Source organism: Homo sapiens, chromosome 19 (assembly GCF_000001405.40).
Source record: "Homo sapiens chromosome 19, GRCh38.p14 Primary Assembly".
Classification (NCBI taxonomy): Eukaryota; Metazoa; Chordata; class Mammalia; order Primates; family Hominidae; genus Homo; species Homo sapiens.
The window spans coordinates 29,637,358-29,657,197 of record NC_000019.10 but is presented as its reverse complement, the minus strand read 5'-3'; the positions used below and the strand labels follow the sequence as shown (position 1 = coordinate 29,657,197).

Sequence of the window (19,840 nt, the reverse complement as noted above, 5' to 3'; positions counted from 1 at the left end):
ATCCACTGCAAGGGCAATGAGCCCTGCCCTCTGGAGGGACTGCACCTGAGTATTCAGAGAAGTGGAGGAGAGGCCTGACTTCCAGATGTGTGTGTGCTGTGGGCACCTGTACAGGCAATGAAAAACTCCTAGGTGTGAGGTTTTCACACTGGCTGCCTGCAGGTCCCACAGTTCCGTTTTGCTTGGCTAGCATGCTGGATTTTAAAAATCTAAACTTGGGCCGGGCACAGTGGCTCACGTCTGTAATCCCAGCACTTTGGGAGGCCGAGGTGGGTGGATCACCTGAGGTCAGGAGTTCAAGACCAGCCTGGCTAAAATGGTGAAACCCTGTTTCTATTCAAAATACAAAAAAATAGCTGGGTGTGGTGGTGTGCACCTGTAATCCCAGCTACTTGGGAGGCTGAGACAGGAGAATCACTTGAACCCAGGAGGCGGAGGTTGCAGTGAGCCGAGATCGCACCATTGCACTCCAGCTTGGGCAACAAGAGCAAAACACTGTCTCAAAAATAAATAAATCAATCAATAAATCTAAACTTGACATTCACCAGAATTGCTAAAATGATGAATGCTGACAATATGTGTAAAAAAATTATCAAACTAAGGCCGGGCACGGTGGCTTACGCTTGTAATCCCAGCACTTTGGGAGGCTGAGGTGGGTGGATCACGAGGTCAGGAGTTTGAGATCAGCCTGGCCAACATAGTGAAACCCGTCTCTACTAAAAATACAAAAATTAGCGGGGTGTGGTGGCACATGCCTGTAGTCCCAGCTACTCGGGAGGCTGAGGTGGGAGAACCGCTTGAACCCGGGAGGCAGAGGTTGCAGTGAGCTGAGACCATGCCATTGTACTCCAGCCTGGGTGACAGAGTAAGACTCCATCTCAAAAAAAAAACATTATCAAACTATACACATAAGATTCGTGCACTTTATTGTATGTATATTATACATCAATAAAATAAAATAGGATAAAAGCCCCCCTACCCAAAAATCTGAGCTTGAGTGCTCTTAGAGGATGTGCCCATCCTGCTCCTGCACAGCCCCCGGCTCCCTGCTGTCACCCACCTTGGCTGCCCTCCCTGAGGCCTCTGGAGGCTGACAAGTTTGCCTTGCATTTGCAGTTCCTGCAGGAGGTGCCCTCTCATGATGTTTCCTCTTTTTCCCGAAGCAGGGGCCCAGGTGCCTTTTCCAGAGTGCCCCTGGAGTTGGGGTTGGGTTGAGCAGCTCAGGACAAAGGAGAGCATGCATTATTAGGCTTTTTACCCCCACACTGTTCCCTGTCCCCATACTGTGGTGGCAGCCATGAAAATGCATGGCTCACCCTTCTGCTGTGAGAGTGTGGTTGACTGATAGCCCCACATGCTCTCTTTGGGGACCTACCACTGTGTTAGTGCCAGCGCCCAACTTCCTCCAGGCTGCTGCCAGTCAATGTCTGAGCATGATGGGTGCTGAGACTGGTCCATCTTTGTGAGATGTGGGACCTTGGGTTACCTTGACTCAGGGATTCCCCACTGGCCTGACTGACACTTTCTTGGAACTGTACTGCAGTTTGAGACTCTTCTTCCTTTCTCCTGGTGTCAGGCTGGCAAAGTCATCTGAAGGGTCTCTCCATCTTTTCTGACTACCTCTTCTTTATCCTTCACTGATGTCCCCAAGTCCATCTGTCTTGGTGTCTGCTTCTAGGAAGACCTTGACTAAGACACAGACACCAGTGGGTACTTCTCCTATCACTCAAGACTCCAATCTCTAGGCAGCTTTTAAGTCTCTAGATCCCCCACCTTTGTTCCTCCCCACTTTGCTTTCTGTTGCCCCAACCCTCACTGTCTCCTCTCCAGCTGAAGTGATGGGAGAGCTTTCATACGTCTTCTTTTCACATCTTAGGGATGTTTTCTTGAGACATAAAAATCACCATCTTTTTCATGATGCATTTTATTCCTGTTTCTTAAGACAAACTCCAGCAGCATCTTCATAAACGCCCCATAAAACCTCCTTGCTTATAATCCTTGGAAGACAGAAGCGGGGAGGTCTTTTATTCTGAGAAAATGGATAAAGAGAGCAAACTTCTGTCTTGGGAGCAAATGTCCCCATGATTATACCATTCTCCAGGAGGTGAAGGTAAACGCTTCCACAATGAATGGAAAAAAGGCCTCAAATCAATTATCTGAGTTTCCACCTTAAAAAAATGGGATAAAAAAGAACAAACTAAGTCCAAAGTATTTAGAAGAAAGGAAATAATAAAAATTGGAGTAGACATAAATAAAATAGGAAAACTAAAAAACAGCAAAGAAATCCCAAATCAGGATTTTTGAAAAGATTAATAAAATTGATATACTTCTAGTTGGACTGATGAAGAAAAAAGAGAGAAAACACAAATTACTAATATCAGGAATGAGAGGCAATATTACTATAGACCCTATAGACGTTAAAAAATAAATAGTATGAATAAATCTATGTCCATGAATTTGACAACTTAGATGAAATGAACCAATTCCTTGAAAAACATAAACCATTAAGACTTTCTTAAGAAAAAAGAGATAACTTGAAAAACATTATAGCTATTAAAGAAGTTTATTTTGTATGGAAAAGCCATACAACAACAACAACAACAACAAAGAGCTCCATGCCGGATGATCTCACTGGTGAATGTTATCAAACATTAAAGGAAGAAATTAATAACAATGCTACAAAATTTCTTCCGGAAAATTTTATGAGACCAGCATTACCTTAATGCCAAAGCCAGAACAAGACAGTATAAGAAAAGAAAATTGCAGACCAACATCCTTCATAAACTTAGATGCAAAAATCCTCAACAAAATATTAGCATATTAAATCTAGCAATATTTTTAAGAGATAACACAAGGTGACCAAGTTGGGTTTATACTAGGAATTCAAGGTTGATTCAACATTTTAAATAATCAATTAAGGTAATTCACCATATCAATAGGCTAAACATTGTTCCTAAAGTCCTAGCCAGTGCAATAAAGCAAGAAAAAGAAATAAAAGGCATATAAGTCAAAAAGAAATAAATTTTTCTCTATTGTCATATGATTTGCTGGTCTGCATAGAAAATCTCAAGGAATTTACAAGTACTTCCCAGAACTTATAAGTGAGCTTAGCAAGTACACAGGAACAAGGTCAATATGCAAAACCCAATTATATTTCTATATGTAGCAATAAAAAATTGAGAATAACAAATTTAAAAACAGTACCATCTACAACAGCACCAAAAGATGGAATGCTTTGCTATAAGTCTAACAAAACACATGCAGGATTTGTATGCTGAAAACTACAAAACATGAACTAAAGAAATCAAATAATTCAACTCTGACCCGGAGAAGACAAAAAAATTTTGAAAAATAAAGAAATCAAAGAAAACTTAAATAAATGTAGACATATAATACATACGTGGATTGGAAAACTTGATATTGTTAAAATTTCACTTCTCCCTAACTTGGTGTATATACATTCAACACAATCCCGATCAAAAGTGTAGCAGGTTTTTTTTTTTTTTTTCAGATATTGACAAAGTGATTCTAAAATTTATGGGAGGCCAGGTGCGGTGGCTCACATCTGTAACCCAACATTTTGGGTGGCCGAGGCAGGCAAATTGCATGAGCCCAGGAGTTCAAGACCAGTTTTGGCACTATAGGGAGACCTCTGCCTCTACGGAAATTACAAAAATTAGCCTGGCATGGTGGTGCATGCCTATAGTTGCTTGAACCTGGGAGGCAGAGTCCAATGAGCCGAGATGATGCCACTGTATTCTAGCAGCCTGGGTGATGTAGTGAGACCCTGTCTCAAACACACACACACACACAAACACACACACACCCTTTGTGGGAAAAGGCAAAGGAAGTAGAATCACCAAAACATTTCAGAAAAAAAGAGCAAAAGTGCAACACCCACTACTTCTCACTATAAAGCTGTAGTTATTGAGACAATGTGATATTTCTCGAAGGATATACAAATTGATCAATGGAACAGAATATAGAGTCCAACAATAGACCCACATGAATATGATCAATTGATTTTTAACAAAGGTGCAAACAGAATTAATGGAGGAAGAACAGTGCTTTCATCAAATGGTCCTGGAATAATTAGACATCCATATGCAAATAAATGTACCTTGACCTACATCTCATGCCTTATTGCTATGTTCTGGATGTTCCCCAAAATTCATGTGTTGAGACAATCCCCACTGTGGTGGAACTAAGAGGTGGGATCTCTTGTGAAGTGATTAAGTCACGCAGCCTCCACCCTCAGTAATGTATTAGTGCCTAATAAAAGGGCTGGAAGGAACTAGCTTAGACCCTTTACCCTTCCACTCTCTGCTATGTGAGAACACAGTGTTTGAGGCACCATCTTGGAAGCACAGACTGGGGCTTCACTGGAAACTCAATATGCTTGTACCTGCATCTTGGAGTTCACAGCCTTGAGAACGATGTGAAATATACTTCCATTATTTCTAAATTACCCCGTTTGTGGTCAAATGAACTAAGACACTTAAACAATAACAAACGCAAAATGAATTTTTGACCTGAGTGTGAAACATCAAACTATAAATTCTTTAGAAGAAAACATTGGAGAAAATCTTCATGACCTTGGGTTAGGCAAAGTGTTCTTAGACACCAAAAACATAATCCATAAAGAAAAAAGAAGATAAATTATGCCTCATCAAAATTAAACTTTGCTCTGTGAAAGACACTGTTAAAATAAAGAAAAGCCACACACTAGGGGTAAATATCTGCAAATCATATATCTGACAAAGGGCTTGTATTCAGAATATATGAAGAACCCAACAAAAAGAAAAAACAGCTTAATTTAAAAACAGACAAAATCTAGCCTAAGCAACATGGTGAAACCCTATTTCTACAAAAAATACAAAAAAATTAGCTGGGCATGGTGGCACACATCTTTACTCCTAGCTACTCGGGAGGCTGAGGTGGGAGAACAACTTGAGCCTGGGAGGCAGAGGTTGCAGTGAGCCACGATCGCACCACTGGACTTCAGCCTGGGCAACAGAGTGAGACCCTGTCTCAAAAACAGCACAAAATGAGCAAATATTTCAACAGACACTTTAGCAAAGAAGATATATGAATGACAAATAAAGGCATGAAAAATGCTCAAAATCATTAGACATTAGGAAAATGCAAATTAAAACCACAATGAGATACTATTATACTACATATCTATCTGAATGGCTATAAAAACCAAACCAAACCCATAATGCGAATACCAAGTTCTGGACAGTATGCAAGACAACTGTATCTTTCATACATTGCTACTAGGAACACAATAGGACACAACCACTTCAGAGACAGTTTGCCAGTTTCTTACAAAGTTAAACCTACTCTCCCCAGATGATACAGCAATCTCACACCTAGATGGTTACTCAAGATAAATAAAAACTTCCGTTCACACAAAAAATCCTGTTAACCAATGCTTTTAATAGCTTTATGGCTAAAAAACAAAAATTAGGCCAGACACGGTGGCTCATGCCTGTCATCCCAGCACTTTGGGAGGCTGAGGGGGTGTGGATCACCTGAGGTCAGGGTTCGAGACCAACCAGCCTGGCCAATGTGGTGAAACCCCGTCTCTACTAAAAATATAAAAGTTAGGCAAGCATGGTGGCACACGCCTGTAATCCCAGCTACTAGGGAGGCTGAGGCAGGAGAATCATTTGAACCTAGGAGGCAGAGGTTGCCATGAGCCAAGATAATGTCACTGCACTCCAGCCTGGGCAAAAAGAACAAAAAACAAACAAAAAAACCCCGCAAAAATTGGAAATGACCCAAATAGCCGTCAAGTGTGGAATGGATGAATAAAATATGGTATCCAAGCAATGAAATGAAGAGGACCTCAACCATAATAAGAAACAAACTACTAACCCAGCAATAAGAATGAATCTCAAACACATTATGCTAAGAGAAAAACTGCCAGACTCCAAGGGCTACATATTCTACGTTATCATTTCTATGGCACTCTCAAAAGGCAGAACTGTCAGGATGGATGACTGATCAGCAGTAGCTTCTGCTTGGGGGTGGGGTAGCCACAACGGGTAGCATGGGGCGGTGGGGGGGTGCGGGGGGGGAGCGGGTGGGAGTTTGGGATGATGGAAAACTCTTTTGTATTTTGATTGTGGGAGTTGTTAACCAAAAATAAAATTCAAAGGCCCCCTAACAGTCTAAATGGACCCCTCCTCTCAGCCAAGCCACTCCAAAATTAACCTGAAAAACGGGTTCAGGCCATGATGAGAGGACGTGCCTCATTATACCCTCCTCCCTCTTGGAATTCAGGAAAAGCTGACCAGCATTTATTAGGTTGCTACAAAAGTAATTGTGGTTTTTGTCATTAAAGGTCATGGCAAATTACTTTTGTACCTACTTAACATCAACACAGACCTTAAGTGTGCTAAGAAACATTTACAATCTCTTTTCTCTGAAGCCTGCTACCTGGAGGCTTCCTCTGCGTGATAAAATTTGATCTCTACAACCCCTTTTTGTAACCCAGACATTCCTTTCTATTGATAATAACTCTTTAAACCCATTGCAAATCAGACAATTTAAAAATCTACCTATAAGCTCGAGTCCCCCCACTTTCAGTTGTCCCACTTTTCTGGACTGAACCAATGTATATCTTGCATGATGTTTCCTGTCTCCTAAAAATGTACAAAACTAGGCTGGGCCCTGAACACCCTGGACACATGTTCTCAAGACCTCCTGAGGGCTGTGTCACAGGCCACTGGCCACTCATATTTGGCTCAGAATAAATCTGTTAAAATATTTTACAGAGTCTGATTCTTTTTTTAAACTCCTTTGAGATGGAGTCTTGCTCTGTCACACAGGCCTGCGGTACAGTGGTGTGATCTCAGCTCACTGCAACCTCTGCCTCCCAGGCTCCAGTGATTCTCCTGCCTCAGCCTCCTTAGTAGCTGGGATTACAGGCACACGCCAACACACCCAGCTAATATTTTATATTTTTAGTAGACATGGGGTTTCATCATGTTGGCCAGGCTGGTCTCAAACTCCTGTCCTCAAGTAATCGCCTGCATTGGCCTCCCTAAGTGCTGATAGAGGCGTGAGCCACCGCACCTGGCCAAGTTTGACTCTTTGTTGACAGAGTAGTTACACTACTTTATGTATTTGCCAAAACAAATAGAATTGTACACTAAAGAATTACATTTAATGTAAATTTTAAAATTTTTAAAGCAAAAGCAAATATTAGTAAAATGTATAACGTTGTCATTTGTAATTGAAATTCTCATAGCATATACAGCATTTCCCACATTTGTTCTTTACATGGTTGCTGATTAATTAGGATTTGTGTGTGTGTGTGTGTGTGTGTGCACATATGTTTCAAAAGTTTAATGTGTTAGAATTTTATATTTTATTTTTAGTATTTAAGGTTTTTTTTTTATTTCAATCGTTTTTGGGGAACGGGTGGTGTTTGGCTACATGGATAAGTTCTTTGGTGGTGATTTCTGAGATTTTGGTTCACCTTTCACCCAAGCCATCTACACTGTACCCAATGTGTAGTCTTTTATCCCTCACCCCATCCCACTCTTTCCCATGAGTCCCCAAACTCCACTGAATTATTCTTATGCCTTTGTGCTCTCATAGCTTTGATCCCACTTATGAATGAGAACATAAGATGTTTGCTTTTCCATTCTTGAGTTAGATCACTTTGAATAATAGCTGGGAGCAGTGGCTGACGCCTGTAATCCCAGCACTTTGGAAGGCTGAGGTGGGTGGATCACGAGGTCAAGAGATCGAGGCCAACATGATGAAATCCCGTCTCTGCTAAAAATACAAAAATTAGCTGGGCGTGGTGGCGCACACCTGTAATCCCAGCTACTCGGTAGGCTAAGGCAGGAGAATTGCTTGAGCCCCGGAGGCGGAGGTTGCAGTGAGCCAAGATTGCGCCACTGCACTCCAGCCTGGATACAGAACGAGACTCCGTCTCAAAAAAAAAAGAATAATGGTCTCCAATTCCATCCAGGTTGCTGGGAATGCCATTATTTCGTTCAATGTGTTAGAATTTTAAAAAACTGGCAAGGCCTTGGAGTTGGGGTTTGGTGGCCACCTAGGCACGAATGAAGGTCACACTGGAAATCTTCCAAGTTACCTATTGTTACAAGAGGGGGAAAAAAAAAGCAAGCACAAGGCCCGGCGCGGTGGCTCATGCATGTAATCCCAGCATTTTGGGAGGCCGAGGTGGGCGGATCACGAGGTCAGGAGTTCAACCAGCCTGGCCAACATAGTGAAACCCCGTCTCTACTAAAAATACAAAAATTAATTGGGCATGGTGGTGCGTGCCTGTAGTCCCAGTTACTTGGGAGGCTGAGGCAGGAGAATCGCTTGAACCCAGAAGGCAGAGGTTGCAGTGAGCTGAGATAGTGTCACTGCACTCCAGCCTGGCGACAGAGCGAGACTCCATCTAAAAAAAAAAAAAAGAAAAAAGGAAGCACAATCTGTCATTGCCTGAACCTCTCTCTCTCCTAATATGTTTTTGGGCAAGTTCCTCTAATGCCCTCCTAAGGGATTCTTCAGCTTTCCTGAGATGCTGGGGGTCAGAACTTCCCTTCTCTTTTCTGAAGTCACAAGAGGGAATTTCCTGGCTAAGAAGGCAGAGGAGGAAGCTCAACCTCGGAGCCTCCCTCTCCTAAACCTTCCCAAAGAGGACCCTGAATAAGTAAAAACAAGTAAATCACAAAATCAAAGACAAAAATAAAAAAACATAACCCACCCAAACAATAAAACTCCCAAACCTTTTATATCAAAAGAAATAGAGCGAAACTAGAAAAAATACACAAAACAAGAAACAACCCAGGCATAGAAATTGCCCCACAAAGCAAGGGCAAACTATCTTGCTAAAAATCTTTCAAAAGGGGCAACTAGAATTAAGAGAAACAAGATTCCAGAAATGAGCTTGGTCCTCTTTTCTTTTTTCCTTTTTTAAACTTTTTAAAAAGAGATGGGGTCTTGCTCTGTTGCCCCAGCTGGAGTGCTGTGGTACAGTTGTGGTTGAGTCCTGGGCTCAAGGAATCTTCCTGACTCAAACTCCCGAGTAGCTGGTACTACAGGCACATACCATACCTAGCTAATTTTTAAATTTTTTGTAGAGACGAGGTCTCATTATGTTACCCAGGGTGGTCTCAAACTCCTGGGCTCAAGCGATCCTCCCACCTTGGCCTCCCAAGTAACTGGGACTACACGTGTGTGCCACCATGCCCAGCTAATTTTTTTATTTTTATTTTTATTTCTGTAGAGACAGGATCTCACTATCTTGCCCAGGCTTGTCTCGAACTCCTGGGCTCAAGTGATCCTCCCACCTCGTCATCCAAAAGTGTTGGGGCTGCAGGCATGAGCCACTGCACCTGCCTGAGCCTAGTTCTTAACACGGCCCCCACCTCTCACCTCCAGCCTGGGCAACAGAGCAAGACTTGGTCTCAAAAAATAAATAAATAAAAATAAATAATAAAAAACTTGTTCTAAACAAACAACAGAAAAAACAACAGCAACAAGGAATCCTCAGATGTTCCATCAAATTAAATTGAAAGTTAAAAAAACCAAATGAAACATCGGTCCCCAAAGGCTTGTTGTGAATTCTCTGCCTTCACCTCTCCTTTCTTCTTGTCCCGGAGGCAGGCACTGGGATCTCTTTTAGCTATTTCATTTTAGCCATCTAGGGTTTTTAAAAGCCTGGAGTCTGCCTCAGACAGGACTGAGGGTTTCTGAGCATCTGGAGGCCCAGGGGACTGGGCATGAAGTGAAAGACTGAACAGCAGCTTCTTCAAGGTAGAGATGGGCAGAGCTCCAAGTGGATGAATTAACACCTGGGAACTGTCTAAGGCAGCATACGCACATAGCAACCATGCGTAAGGATCAGTTACTCTTATTACTGTTTCCTGTGTTGTGACCAGGGTGTGATTTTGGAATATCTATATCCTGTTTAAGAAAGTGAATGCCTGCCGGGCGCAGTGGCTCATGCCTGTAATCCCAGCACTTTGGGAGGCCAAGGTGGGCAGATCACCTGAGGTCAGGAGTTCAAGACCAGCCTGGCCAACATAGTGAAACCCCTTCTCTACTAAAAATACAAAAAATTAGCTGGGCGTGGTGGTGGGCGCCTGTAATCCTAGCTACTAGAGAGGCTGAGGCAAGAGAATCAGTTGAACCCAGGAGGTGGAGGTTACAGTGAGCCGAGATTGCGCCACTGCACTCCAGCCTGGGCAACAAGAGCAAAACTCCATCTCAAAAAAGAAAAAAAAAAAAAAAAAGAATCCCAGGCTGGGCACAGTGGCTCACACCTGTAATACCAGCACTTTGGGAGGCTGAGGTGGGTGGATCACCTGAGGTCAGGAGTTCGAGACCAACCTGACCAACATGGTGAAACCCCATCTCTACTAAAAATACAAAAAAAAATTAGCCAGGTGTGGTGGCACTATGCCTGTAATCCCAGCTACTCAGGAGGCTGAGGCAGGAGAATTGCTTGAACCCAGGAGGAAGAGGTTGCAGTGAGCCGAGATCCTACCATTGCACTCCAGACTGGGCAACAAGAGCGAAACTCCGTCTCAAAAAAAAAAAAAAAAGTGAATCCCTTGTTTTCTTTCTCTGGTATTAAGATTGCCCTGATTTCCCTGTCCTATCCCACATCCCCTACATCAGCATCAAGGTCACACAGGACCCCGGCTCTAGTCAGTCTCAATCAGAGGCAGGGTTTCACCTTGTCAAGAGCTCTTTGAATATCTGGAGTTCAAATCTCTTTACTCAATTTACTTATTCCTGAATTAATCCCATAAGGCATAGAACAGATTTTCTCAATGGGCAGCGTCTCATCAAACTCAAATCCAGCATGTATTTATTCTCTTTCAGTTTGAGACATTACTCAGTTCTAAGCTCAGAGAGGAGACTTCTTTTCAAGGTCATTGCATACGGTTGAGCAAGTTGGCCACTGCACAAACATGCCCAGCAGAGGTGAGAGCACTGAAAGGCAGCATTCACTCCACTTGGCAAGCTGCATCTCCTAGGCTGCACGAGCTGGATACACTTCTCACTCTTTTCACACACTTCCGAAGTGCCCATGCTCTTTCGTGTTCCTGCTCTATCTCTTGGCACGATACAATTTCTCTCTGTGGTTTTGGCTCCCTGGCTATCAGGCCCGGGGACAGGAAATTGGGCTCCGTTCCCGTTGTGCACACCCACAGTAGTGGCTCAACACAGTTTTTGGCTGATTTGGGTTGAATTTCTCTTTAGGGGTGAAGGAAATCAAAATATTTCACCCCAAAATACACTTCTTTGACATATTCTGAGATGACTGTTCAGAGGGCCTGTGAACAGAAGTGGCAAAGCTGTCTTTTATGTGGGAGATTTGCATCTATAGAAAAAACATCTGCACTAATGCAGCCAGGTTTTCTCTGAGTCTCTTCCCTGTCCAGATCTAGGAAAGAATCTGACGCCTTTAAAAGTCTTTAGGAAACACCATCTATTCTGAGGACTGCTACCTGGGAGGCTTCATCTGCATAACAAGCCCACCTATGCTAGCCAGGACTTCTCTTCTTCCCCTCCAATCCCTCCTTGCCGCTATAACCTGATTTGCCGCTATAACCTGATTTGCTGCCATAAGCCATTTTTGGACGTGCTCTGAGTGCCCCCTCTGCCTGTTTTTTCTGTAACCCCAACATGGCATATAAGCTTCTGTACAGCACGGTGGGTAGGATAATCACTCTGTGGTTCTCCTCCGCGTGCATGTTAATACATGTGCATGCCTTTTCTCTAATTAATCTGCCTTGTTCAGTTGATTTTCCAGCAAACCTTCAGAGGGAGAAGGAGAAATTGTCCCTCGGCCCCTACAGTTTTGGCACTGTGAGCAGGAGACTGACACCATTCTGCTCTCCTGGGAGCTGCAGTGAAGGAAACCCAGGACCTGACAAACTGGCAGAAGGGTAAGAATTTCTTACCAGCCGGGCTCCCAGCCTCTCTCTGTAAAATCCAGTCAAGCAAATAGTAAAAATGACTGTCGTTTTTCTCTCTGCAAAATTTTGATTGATGGGAGAAAAGGATTTGTGTGGCTAGTCTTGGGTGTGGCAACTCTGGTGTACTTTTTGGTAGGAATATTACTATTGTTTGATCTTTTTTCCTCCCAGAAATAGTCCTTTCCTTTGTTTTTGTCTTTTTTTGTTGCTCTGTCATAACAAGGGGTCCCATAGTGTTACCGGAAAGCGGTCCCGATCCAGACCCCAAGAGAGGGTTCTTGGATCTCGCGCAAGAAAGAATTCAAGATGAATCCATAGAGTAAAGTGAAAGTAATTAAGAAAGTAAAGGAATAAGGCCGGGCGTGGTGGCTCATGCCTGTAATCCCAGCACTTTGGGAGGCGGGTGGATTACTTGAGGCCAGGAGTTCAAGATCACCTTGGCCAACATGGTGACCCCATCTCTACTAAAAATACAAAAATTAGCCGGGCATGGTGGCAGGTGCCTGTAATCCTAGCTACTCAGGAGGCTGAGGCAGGAGAATCGCTCAAACCTGGGAGGTGGAGGTTGCAGTGAGCTGAGAGCACGCCAGTGCACTCCATCCTGGGTGACAAGAACGAAACTCTGTCTCAAAAAAAAAAAAAAAGAAAGAAAGGAAAAGAAAGTAAAGGAATAAAGAATTGTTACTCCGTAGGCAGGGCAGTACGGAGGGCTGCTGGTTGCCTATTTTTATGTTATTTCTTGATTATATGCTAAACAAGGGGTGGGTTATTCATGAGTTTTCTAGGAAAGGCCTGGGTAATTCCCGGAGCTGAGGGCACCTTCCCTTTTTAGACCATATAGGGTAACTTCCTGACGTTGCCATGGCATCTGTAAACCATCATGGTGCTGGTGGGAGTGTCTTTTAGCATGCTAATGCATTATACCTAGCGTATAATGAGCAGTGAGGAAGACCAGAGGCCACCTTCATTGCCATCTTGGTTTTGTGGGATTTGGCCGGCTTCTTTACTGCATGCTGGTGTTTTGTTTTGTTTTGTTTTTGAGACGGAGTCTTGCTCTGCGGCCCAGGCTGGAATGCAATGGCTCGATCTCGGCTCACTGCAACTTCTGCCTCCCGGGTTCAAGCGATCCTCCTACCTCTGCCTCCCGAGTAGCTGGGATTACAGGTGGCTGCCACTACGCCCGGCTGAATTTTGTATTTTATAGTAGAGACGGGGTTTTACCATGTTGATCAGGCTGGTCTCGAACTCCTGACCTCAGGTGATCCGCCTGCCTTGGCCTCCCAAAGTGCTGGGATTATAGGTGTGAGCCACTGCGCCCGGCCTGCATGCTGTTTTATCAGCAAGTACTTTGTGACCTGTATCTTTTGCCGACCTCCTGTCTCATCCTGTGATTATGAATGCCTTAACCTCCTGGGAATGCAGCCCAGTAGGTCTCAGCCTTATTTTACCTAGAGAGCCTATTCAAGATGGAGTCACTCTGGTTCAAATGTCGCTCTGCCAATGTGGGGGACACAATGCAGAACGCTCTCAAGCTGGTTGTTCCAGCCAGCCCTGCAGACTGGTCAGTTTGTTTTTCTGGTTGGGCTGGAATATAAACTTCACTGTTGGTCCCCAAAATAAAAACCAGATGAGGTTCCTTCTCATCTTGTTTTATGTTCTTGAGAGCTTGACTTATGACCAAGTGGGAACACTCTCTTGTCTCTGCCTCTGGGGACTGATATTAATAGGTCATGTCAGGTGGCCAGTCTGAAAATGGCTGGAAGTCCGAGACATGTTAAGATTTTAAGCAGCACATATCTTGTTCTGAATGTGTCAAGCTCTCAGGAAAGTTTATCTTAAGAGATCCCATCCTGGCTGGGCACGGTGGCTCATGCCTGTAATCCCAGCACTTTGGGAGGCCGAGGTGGGCAGATCACTGGAGGCCAGGAGTTCGAGACCAGCCTGGCCAACATAGCGAAACCCCGTTTCTACTAAAAATACAAAAATTAGCTGGTCGTGGTATTGCACACCTGTGATCCCAGCTACATGGGAGGCTGAGGGATGAGAATCACTTGAAACTGGGAGGTGGAGGCTGCAGTGAGCTGAGATTGAGCCACTGCACTCCAGCCTGGGTGACAGAGGGAGACCCTGTTCCCCCCTGCACCCCCCACCACCAAAAAAAAAAAAAAAGAGATCTCATCCTAGGTGACTTCTGTTGTCTCAACCCTTGTTGCCTCGTTAGTCCTGGGAAAACCCAATCCTAGGAGGGCCTGCCTGGTTTCACAGATTAACGAGTTTGTGTCTGGTGGCTCTCCACAAATTTGTGGGTTACTGGAGGCATCTTACGTGCAAACATCATCCTTAACCATCTGTGGCAACAAGAGTCTTTTGTGGTTATGTATGGTGGCTCATGCCTCTAATCCCAGCACTTCGGATGGCAGAGGTGGGAGGATCACTTGAGGCTAGGAGTTTGAGACCAGCCTGGGCAACATAGCAAGATCCTGACTCTACAAAATGTAAAAAAAATTAGCCAGGCATGGTGGTACACACTTGTGGCCTCAGCTACTTGGAAGGCTGAGGTGGGAGGATCACTTAAGCCCTGGAGTTTGAGGCTGCAGTGAGCTATGATCATGCCACCATACTCCAGCCTGGTGACAGAACAAGATGCTGGCTCACAGGAAAAAAAAAAAAAAAAGAGTCTTTTTCTATGTTAGACTATTCCTAGGAGTGAATTTTTTTGGAGGAAATCTTTGATATTGCCTTCTCCAGGAAACAACTTGTTTTAAACCTGGAAAATCACACCCTGGGGTTTCCATGAAGAGGCTATTGGATTGAGTCACTATCGGAAGAAGTACACCCTAGGAAATTCTCATTAGTGGCCAAAAGATGGATCCTTTCAATGAGAAAAACTCCTAAATCTTAAAAAAATTAGAGATCTCTCATTCTAAACAATTGCTTTATTTGTATTTATGGGAAGATTAAATGAAAGGAAGAATATAGTGTCACGGCTAGCCTTAGCAACTCTCTCAGCTCAATTAAAGAGTAAAAATCTCACTTAAAACAAAGTTACAATCCTTTGTCTGCTAAACCACCCACGGTGGGTCCCCTGTGGGACTCACAGTGAAGGCTGCTCCACCTTGTAGTTTAGCTAAAATTCCATGCTCCCTCTGCCATGGCCTGGATTTGCTTTCCAGTTAGGGAATCAGTCCCTTTTAGTTTGACATTTGTATGACCTTTGACTTTGGGGGTATCCATTTGTTATTGATCCTTTTCCACAGATAGCTTTTGATTTCCTGTCTGTGGGGAGATACGGGACTTTAGAGCCTTTGTGTGTAGATGGTTAGCTGAGAAGCTGAGACCCTAACAGCTACCAAAACTCTCCTTTCTTTCCCCTCCTTCTCCTTCTCCTCCTCTTTCTCCTCCTCCATCTTCTTCTTCCACTTCTTCTGCTTCCTCCTCTTCCTCTTCTTCCTCTTTTTCTTCTTTCCTCCTCCTTCACCTCCTTCTTCTTTTCTCCTCCTCCTCCTCCTCTTCTGCTTCTCTTTCTTCCTTTTCTGACAGCGTCTTGCTCTGTTGCCCAGTATGGATTGTAATGGCAGACTCATGGCTCACTGCAGCCTCCACCTCTTGGGCTTAAGTGATCCTCCCACCTCAGCCTCCCAAGTCGCTGGGACCAAAGGTGTACACCACCACGCTCAGCTAATTTTAATTTTTTTTTTTTGTAGAGATGAGGTCTCCCTATATTGCTCAGGCTGGTCTCGAACTCCTGGGCTCAAGCAGTCCTCCCACCTCGGCCTCCCAAAGTGCTGGGATTTCAGGCATTAGCCACTGTCCCCAGCCGTTTCTTTTCTTTGAGATGTCTTTTGGGGTGGTTCTGGATCTTGTGAAGTAGGAGGGTACCTTTGGTAAAAAAGTGAAAAAGCCAGGAATTTGTCTTGGGTAAAAACTGATAATTAGAAATTTGAAAAGTTTTCTTTCTTTCTTTATTTAAGAGATGGAGGTCTCACCTTCTTGTCCAGGCTCGTCTTGAACTCCTGGGCTCAAGTGATCCTCCCACCTTGGCCTCCCACAGTGCTGGGTGTTACAGTGGATGGCAGGGCAAAAGAGGACCCCACCCCACCAGGAATGTCAGGCGATCATCAGGTGATGGTCAGGCAGTTGTTACACTGTCTCTCTAAAATAATAATTGGTCGCAGCCAGTGCCAGGGAAAGGCGGTCTCCCTATAGATAGAAAAAACCTGAAGCTGGTCATCAGCAGCTTCTCGATAAGATCCCAGAAGTTGGGGCCGGGCGCAGTGGCTCACGCCTGTAATCCCAGCACCTTGGGAGGTGGGCAGATCACGAGGTCAGGATATCAAGACCAACCTGACTAACACGGTGAAACCCATCTCTACTAAAAATACAAAAAAATAGCCAGGCGTGCTGGCATGTGCCTGTAGTCCCAGCTACTCGGGAGGCTGAGGCAAGAGAATCGCTTGAAGCCGGGAGGTCGAGGTTGCAGTGAGCCGAGATCACGCCACTGCACTCCAGCCTGGGCGACAGTGAGAGACTCCGTTCTTAAAAAAAAAAGAAAGAAAGAAAGAAAAAAGAGTCAGCACGGCGGATTGGAAATCCCCCATCATTAAAAAAAAAAAAAAAAAAAATCTCAGGAGTTGGGCAGCTGGGCTCAATCACGCACATTAAGAGGCAAAATGGTGGTGTTTAACTGGTCTATGGCCTTCGCCTAGGAAGGCTAGATTATGGGGAGAACGCCTCAAGTGAGCATGCGTACAACTCCAGTAAACACACTGCGCATGCTCCTCTCCCAAGCGCTAGCAGGCCACGGTGCCTGTGGACAGCCCAACCCACCGGCAACATCAGGGGAGAAGTGCTGTAAGACCCCACAGGTATGCCGACGTGTAAGACCCCAAGTCAAAAGGTGAAACCCCGCACTTGTCCTTCAAGTCGCCTGCTTGGGCCTCTTCCAAGTGTACTTTCTTTACTTTTGTTCCTGCTCTAATAAACTTCCACTCCTGCTCTGAAACTTGCTTTGGTCTTTTCTTCTGCCTTCCGCCCCTCATTCGAATTCTTTCTGCTGGGGAGGCAAGAATTGAGGCTGCTGCAGACCCGTACGGATTCGCCGCCGGTAACATATTTTGGGGAACACGGATAACTTCCACTACTAACACTGGGATTACAGAAGTGAGCCACCGTGCCTGACCTGAAACGTTTTTGTTTGTTTGTTTTGTTGTTGTTGTTTTTGAGACAGACTCTCGCTCTGTCTGTGGCCCAGGCTGGAGAGCAAAGGCGCCACCTCGGCTCACCGCAACCTCCGCCTCCCGGATTCAAGCTATTCTCCTGCCTCAGCCTCCCGAGTAGCTGGGATTACAGGTGCCCACCACCCCGCCCAGCTAATTTTTGTATTTTCAGTAGTGACGAGGCTTCATCGTGTTGGCCAGGCTGGTCTGGAACTCCTGACCTCAAGTGATCCACCTGCCTCAGCCTCCCAAAGTGCTGGGATTACAGGCATGAGCCACTGTGCCTGAGCTCTGAAAAGTTTTTTTTTTTTTAAAGAGCTCTACGGGCAGAAGTCAGCTTAATTGAAAGCTGATATTCTATATATTCATTAATACTGTGCATTCATGAGCTGGGAGGGTGGTGCTCCCAACTCCACGGGAACAGAAGCTCCTGTGCTTGGGGACCCTTCCCAGCCTGGCTGTACATACCCCTTCATCTGGCTGTTTATTCTTTTACAATAGCCTGTGTGATAAACTGGTGAATGTGTTTCCCTGGGTTCTGTGAGCTGCTCTGGCAAATTAATTGAACCCCAGGAAGGGGTTGTGGGAACCCCGATTTATAGTCAGCAGGGCAGCAGCACAGGAAGAATAACTGGAGTTTGCAATTGGCCCCAGAAGTGGAGGCAGTGTTGGGGATGGACCCCTCACCTGTGGGATCTCCAGGTAGATGGTGTCAGAATTGAAGTAAAGGACACCCTGTTAGCGTCCGCTGCAGGACCGATTGCTTTCTGGGTGTGCGGGGAAAACCCCCTCATATTTGGTCAGTCTTCTGTGTTGATTATCGTGGGGGAGAGCAGAGGAAAAATAGTTTGTGTTTTTTCCACTCAAGTAGCAATACCAGTCACTTACCGGGCATTTGCGATGTGCTAGGCAGTGTGCTAAGTGCTTCCATAGACAGTGCACTCAAGCCTTACAACATCCCGGTGAAGTTAGTTCTATGACCAATCTCATGGTTGATCTCTTCGCAGATGAGAAGAGTTTTAAGGACTTTCCCAAGTGGCAGAGCTGACACTCGCATCTGGGCTGTCTGACTCTAGAGCACTTGCCCTGGGCTGTTCATGTGCATGAACCAGGCCTCACCTTACCTGGGGCACGTCTGCTTCTCTCTGGCAAGTTCCTATATGGTCATTCATTCATGTTCTGTCTTTGTCTGGACATCATCTCAAATTCTTTTTTTTTTTTTTTTTTAGAGAGACAGAGTCTTGCTCTGTTGCCAGGCTGGAGTGCAGTGGCGCAATCATAGTTCACTGCAGCCTCGAACTCAAGCAATCCTCCTGCCTCAGGCTCCCAAGTAGCTGGGACCACAGGTGTGTGCCATCACACCTGGATAACTGATATTTTTTGTAGAGACAGGGGTCTTGCTATGTTGCCCAGGCTGGTCTTGAACTCCTGGCTTCAAGTGATCCTTCCGCTTCCGCTTCCAGATTATCTGGGATTATAGACATGAGCCACTGCGCCCGGCCCTTAGCTTTTCATAGGGGTTTCTATCCCTTACCCCCTTACCCTCCTGCATTCCCTAAATCTTCCTACTCCTGTCTTTATGCTTGCTAGATTTTTTCTTTTTGAGACAGAGTTTTGCTCTTGTTGCCCAGGCTGGAGTGCAGTGGTGTGATCTCTCTCGGCTCACCACAACCTCCACCTCCTGGGTTCAAGTGATTCTCCTGCCTCAGGCTCCCTAGTACCTGGGATTACAGGCATGTGCCACCATGCCCGGCTAATGTTGTATTTTTAGTAGAGACGGGGTTTCTCCATGTTGGTCAGGCTGGTCTCAAACTCCCAACCTCAGGTGATCCCCCCGCCTCGGCCTCCCAAAGGGTTGGGATTACAGGCGTGAGCCACCGGGCCCGGCCCATGCTTGCTAATTTAATTCAAATATAACCAGGGTCTCAAATAGCCTAGTCCCTGTGTGTATCATAGTCAGAGAAGGATCGATCTACATCACAAAATAATTGAAAGTATTTATAAGTCTGTACTCTGTTTCTTGAAGAAATGCCACAAGAAAACATATATTCTTAAGGCTCAGCAAATGTTTAAAACTCCTTCCTCTCCATCTGCTTGTTCCATCCTCCTAGCTGATGGTGACGGATCTTCGAGACTCCTTTTCTTCGCCATTCTTGTCTCCCAGTTTCCCAAATTCTCCCCAGTGCTCAGCCAGGGCGGCTTACCATTTCCTTACCTTCTCATCTTGTTCCATCTCAGCCGTTTTATTACGTAGGTCAATTTCACCTCTCTAGTGTCTTGGGTTTTCTTTTTCCTTCATTTATTATCCAGACCTAGCACAGTGAAGGCTAGGCCAGCGCATGACCCAGAAAGCAAAAATTCCTTCCCCTGGTAAGCTGACTGGGGGCAGGACGGGGGGAGAGAGAGAGAGAGAGAGAAGCCTCAGAATTCCTAGCCATGCATGCTTGTAGGTTGTAGCATTAGTGAGATGAATTGAGCTGCCCTGGGAGTGAGCGTGGTTGCTTGCTCCTGGCAGGACAGGAGAAAATATCTCCAAGTAAGGGTCCCTCGCATCCTTCTTGTTTGTGTCTCTGCTGAAACATCCCATTCGCTGTGTACGGGGACCCATTTTTTGTTAAGGATGTCAGCCTCCATTCCATTGTGGGCCACCCATGGGTT

At 45.0% G+C, this 19,840-nt stretch overlaps 1 long non-coding RNA gene across 1 annotated transcript in view; it reads left to right on the top strand.

Moving 5' to 3' along the window:
- The window catches only part of LOC105372353 (uncharacterized), a 35,060-nt gene that overhangs the window by 8,058 nt on the left and 7,162 nt on the right, over positions 1-19,840 (top strand). Inside the window, exons 4-5 of the long non-coding RNA XR_935896.3 lie at positions 10,867-10,968; positions 11,789-11,936. This is a non-coding gene — a long non-coding RNA (uncharacterized LOC105372353). The remainder of the gene's footprint in view (positions 1-10,866; positions 10,969-11,788; positions 11,937-19,840) is intronic.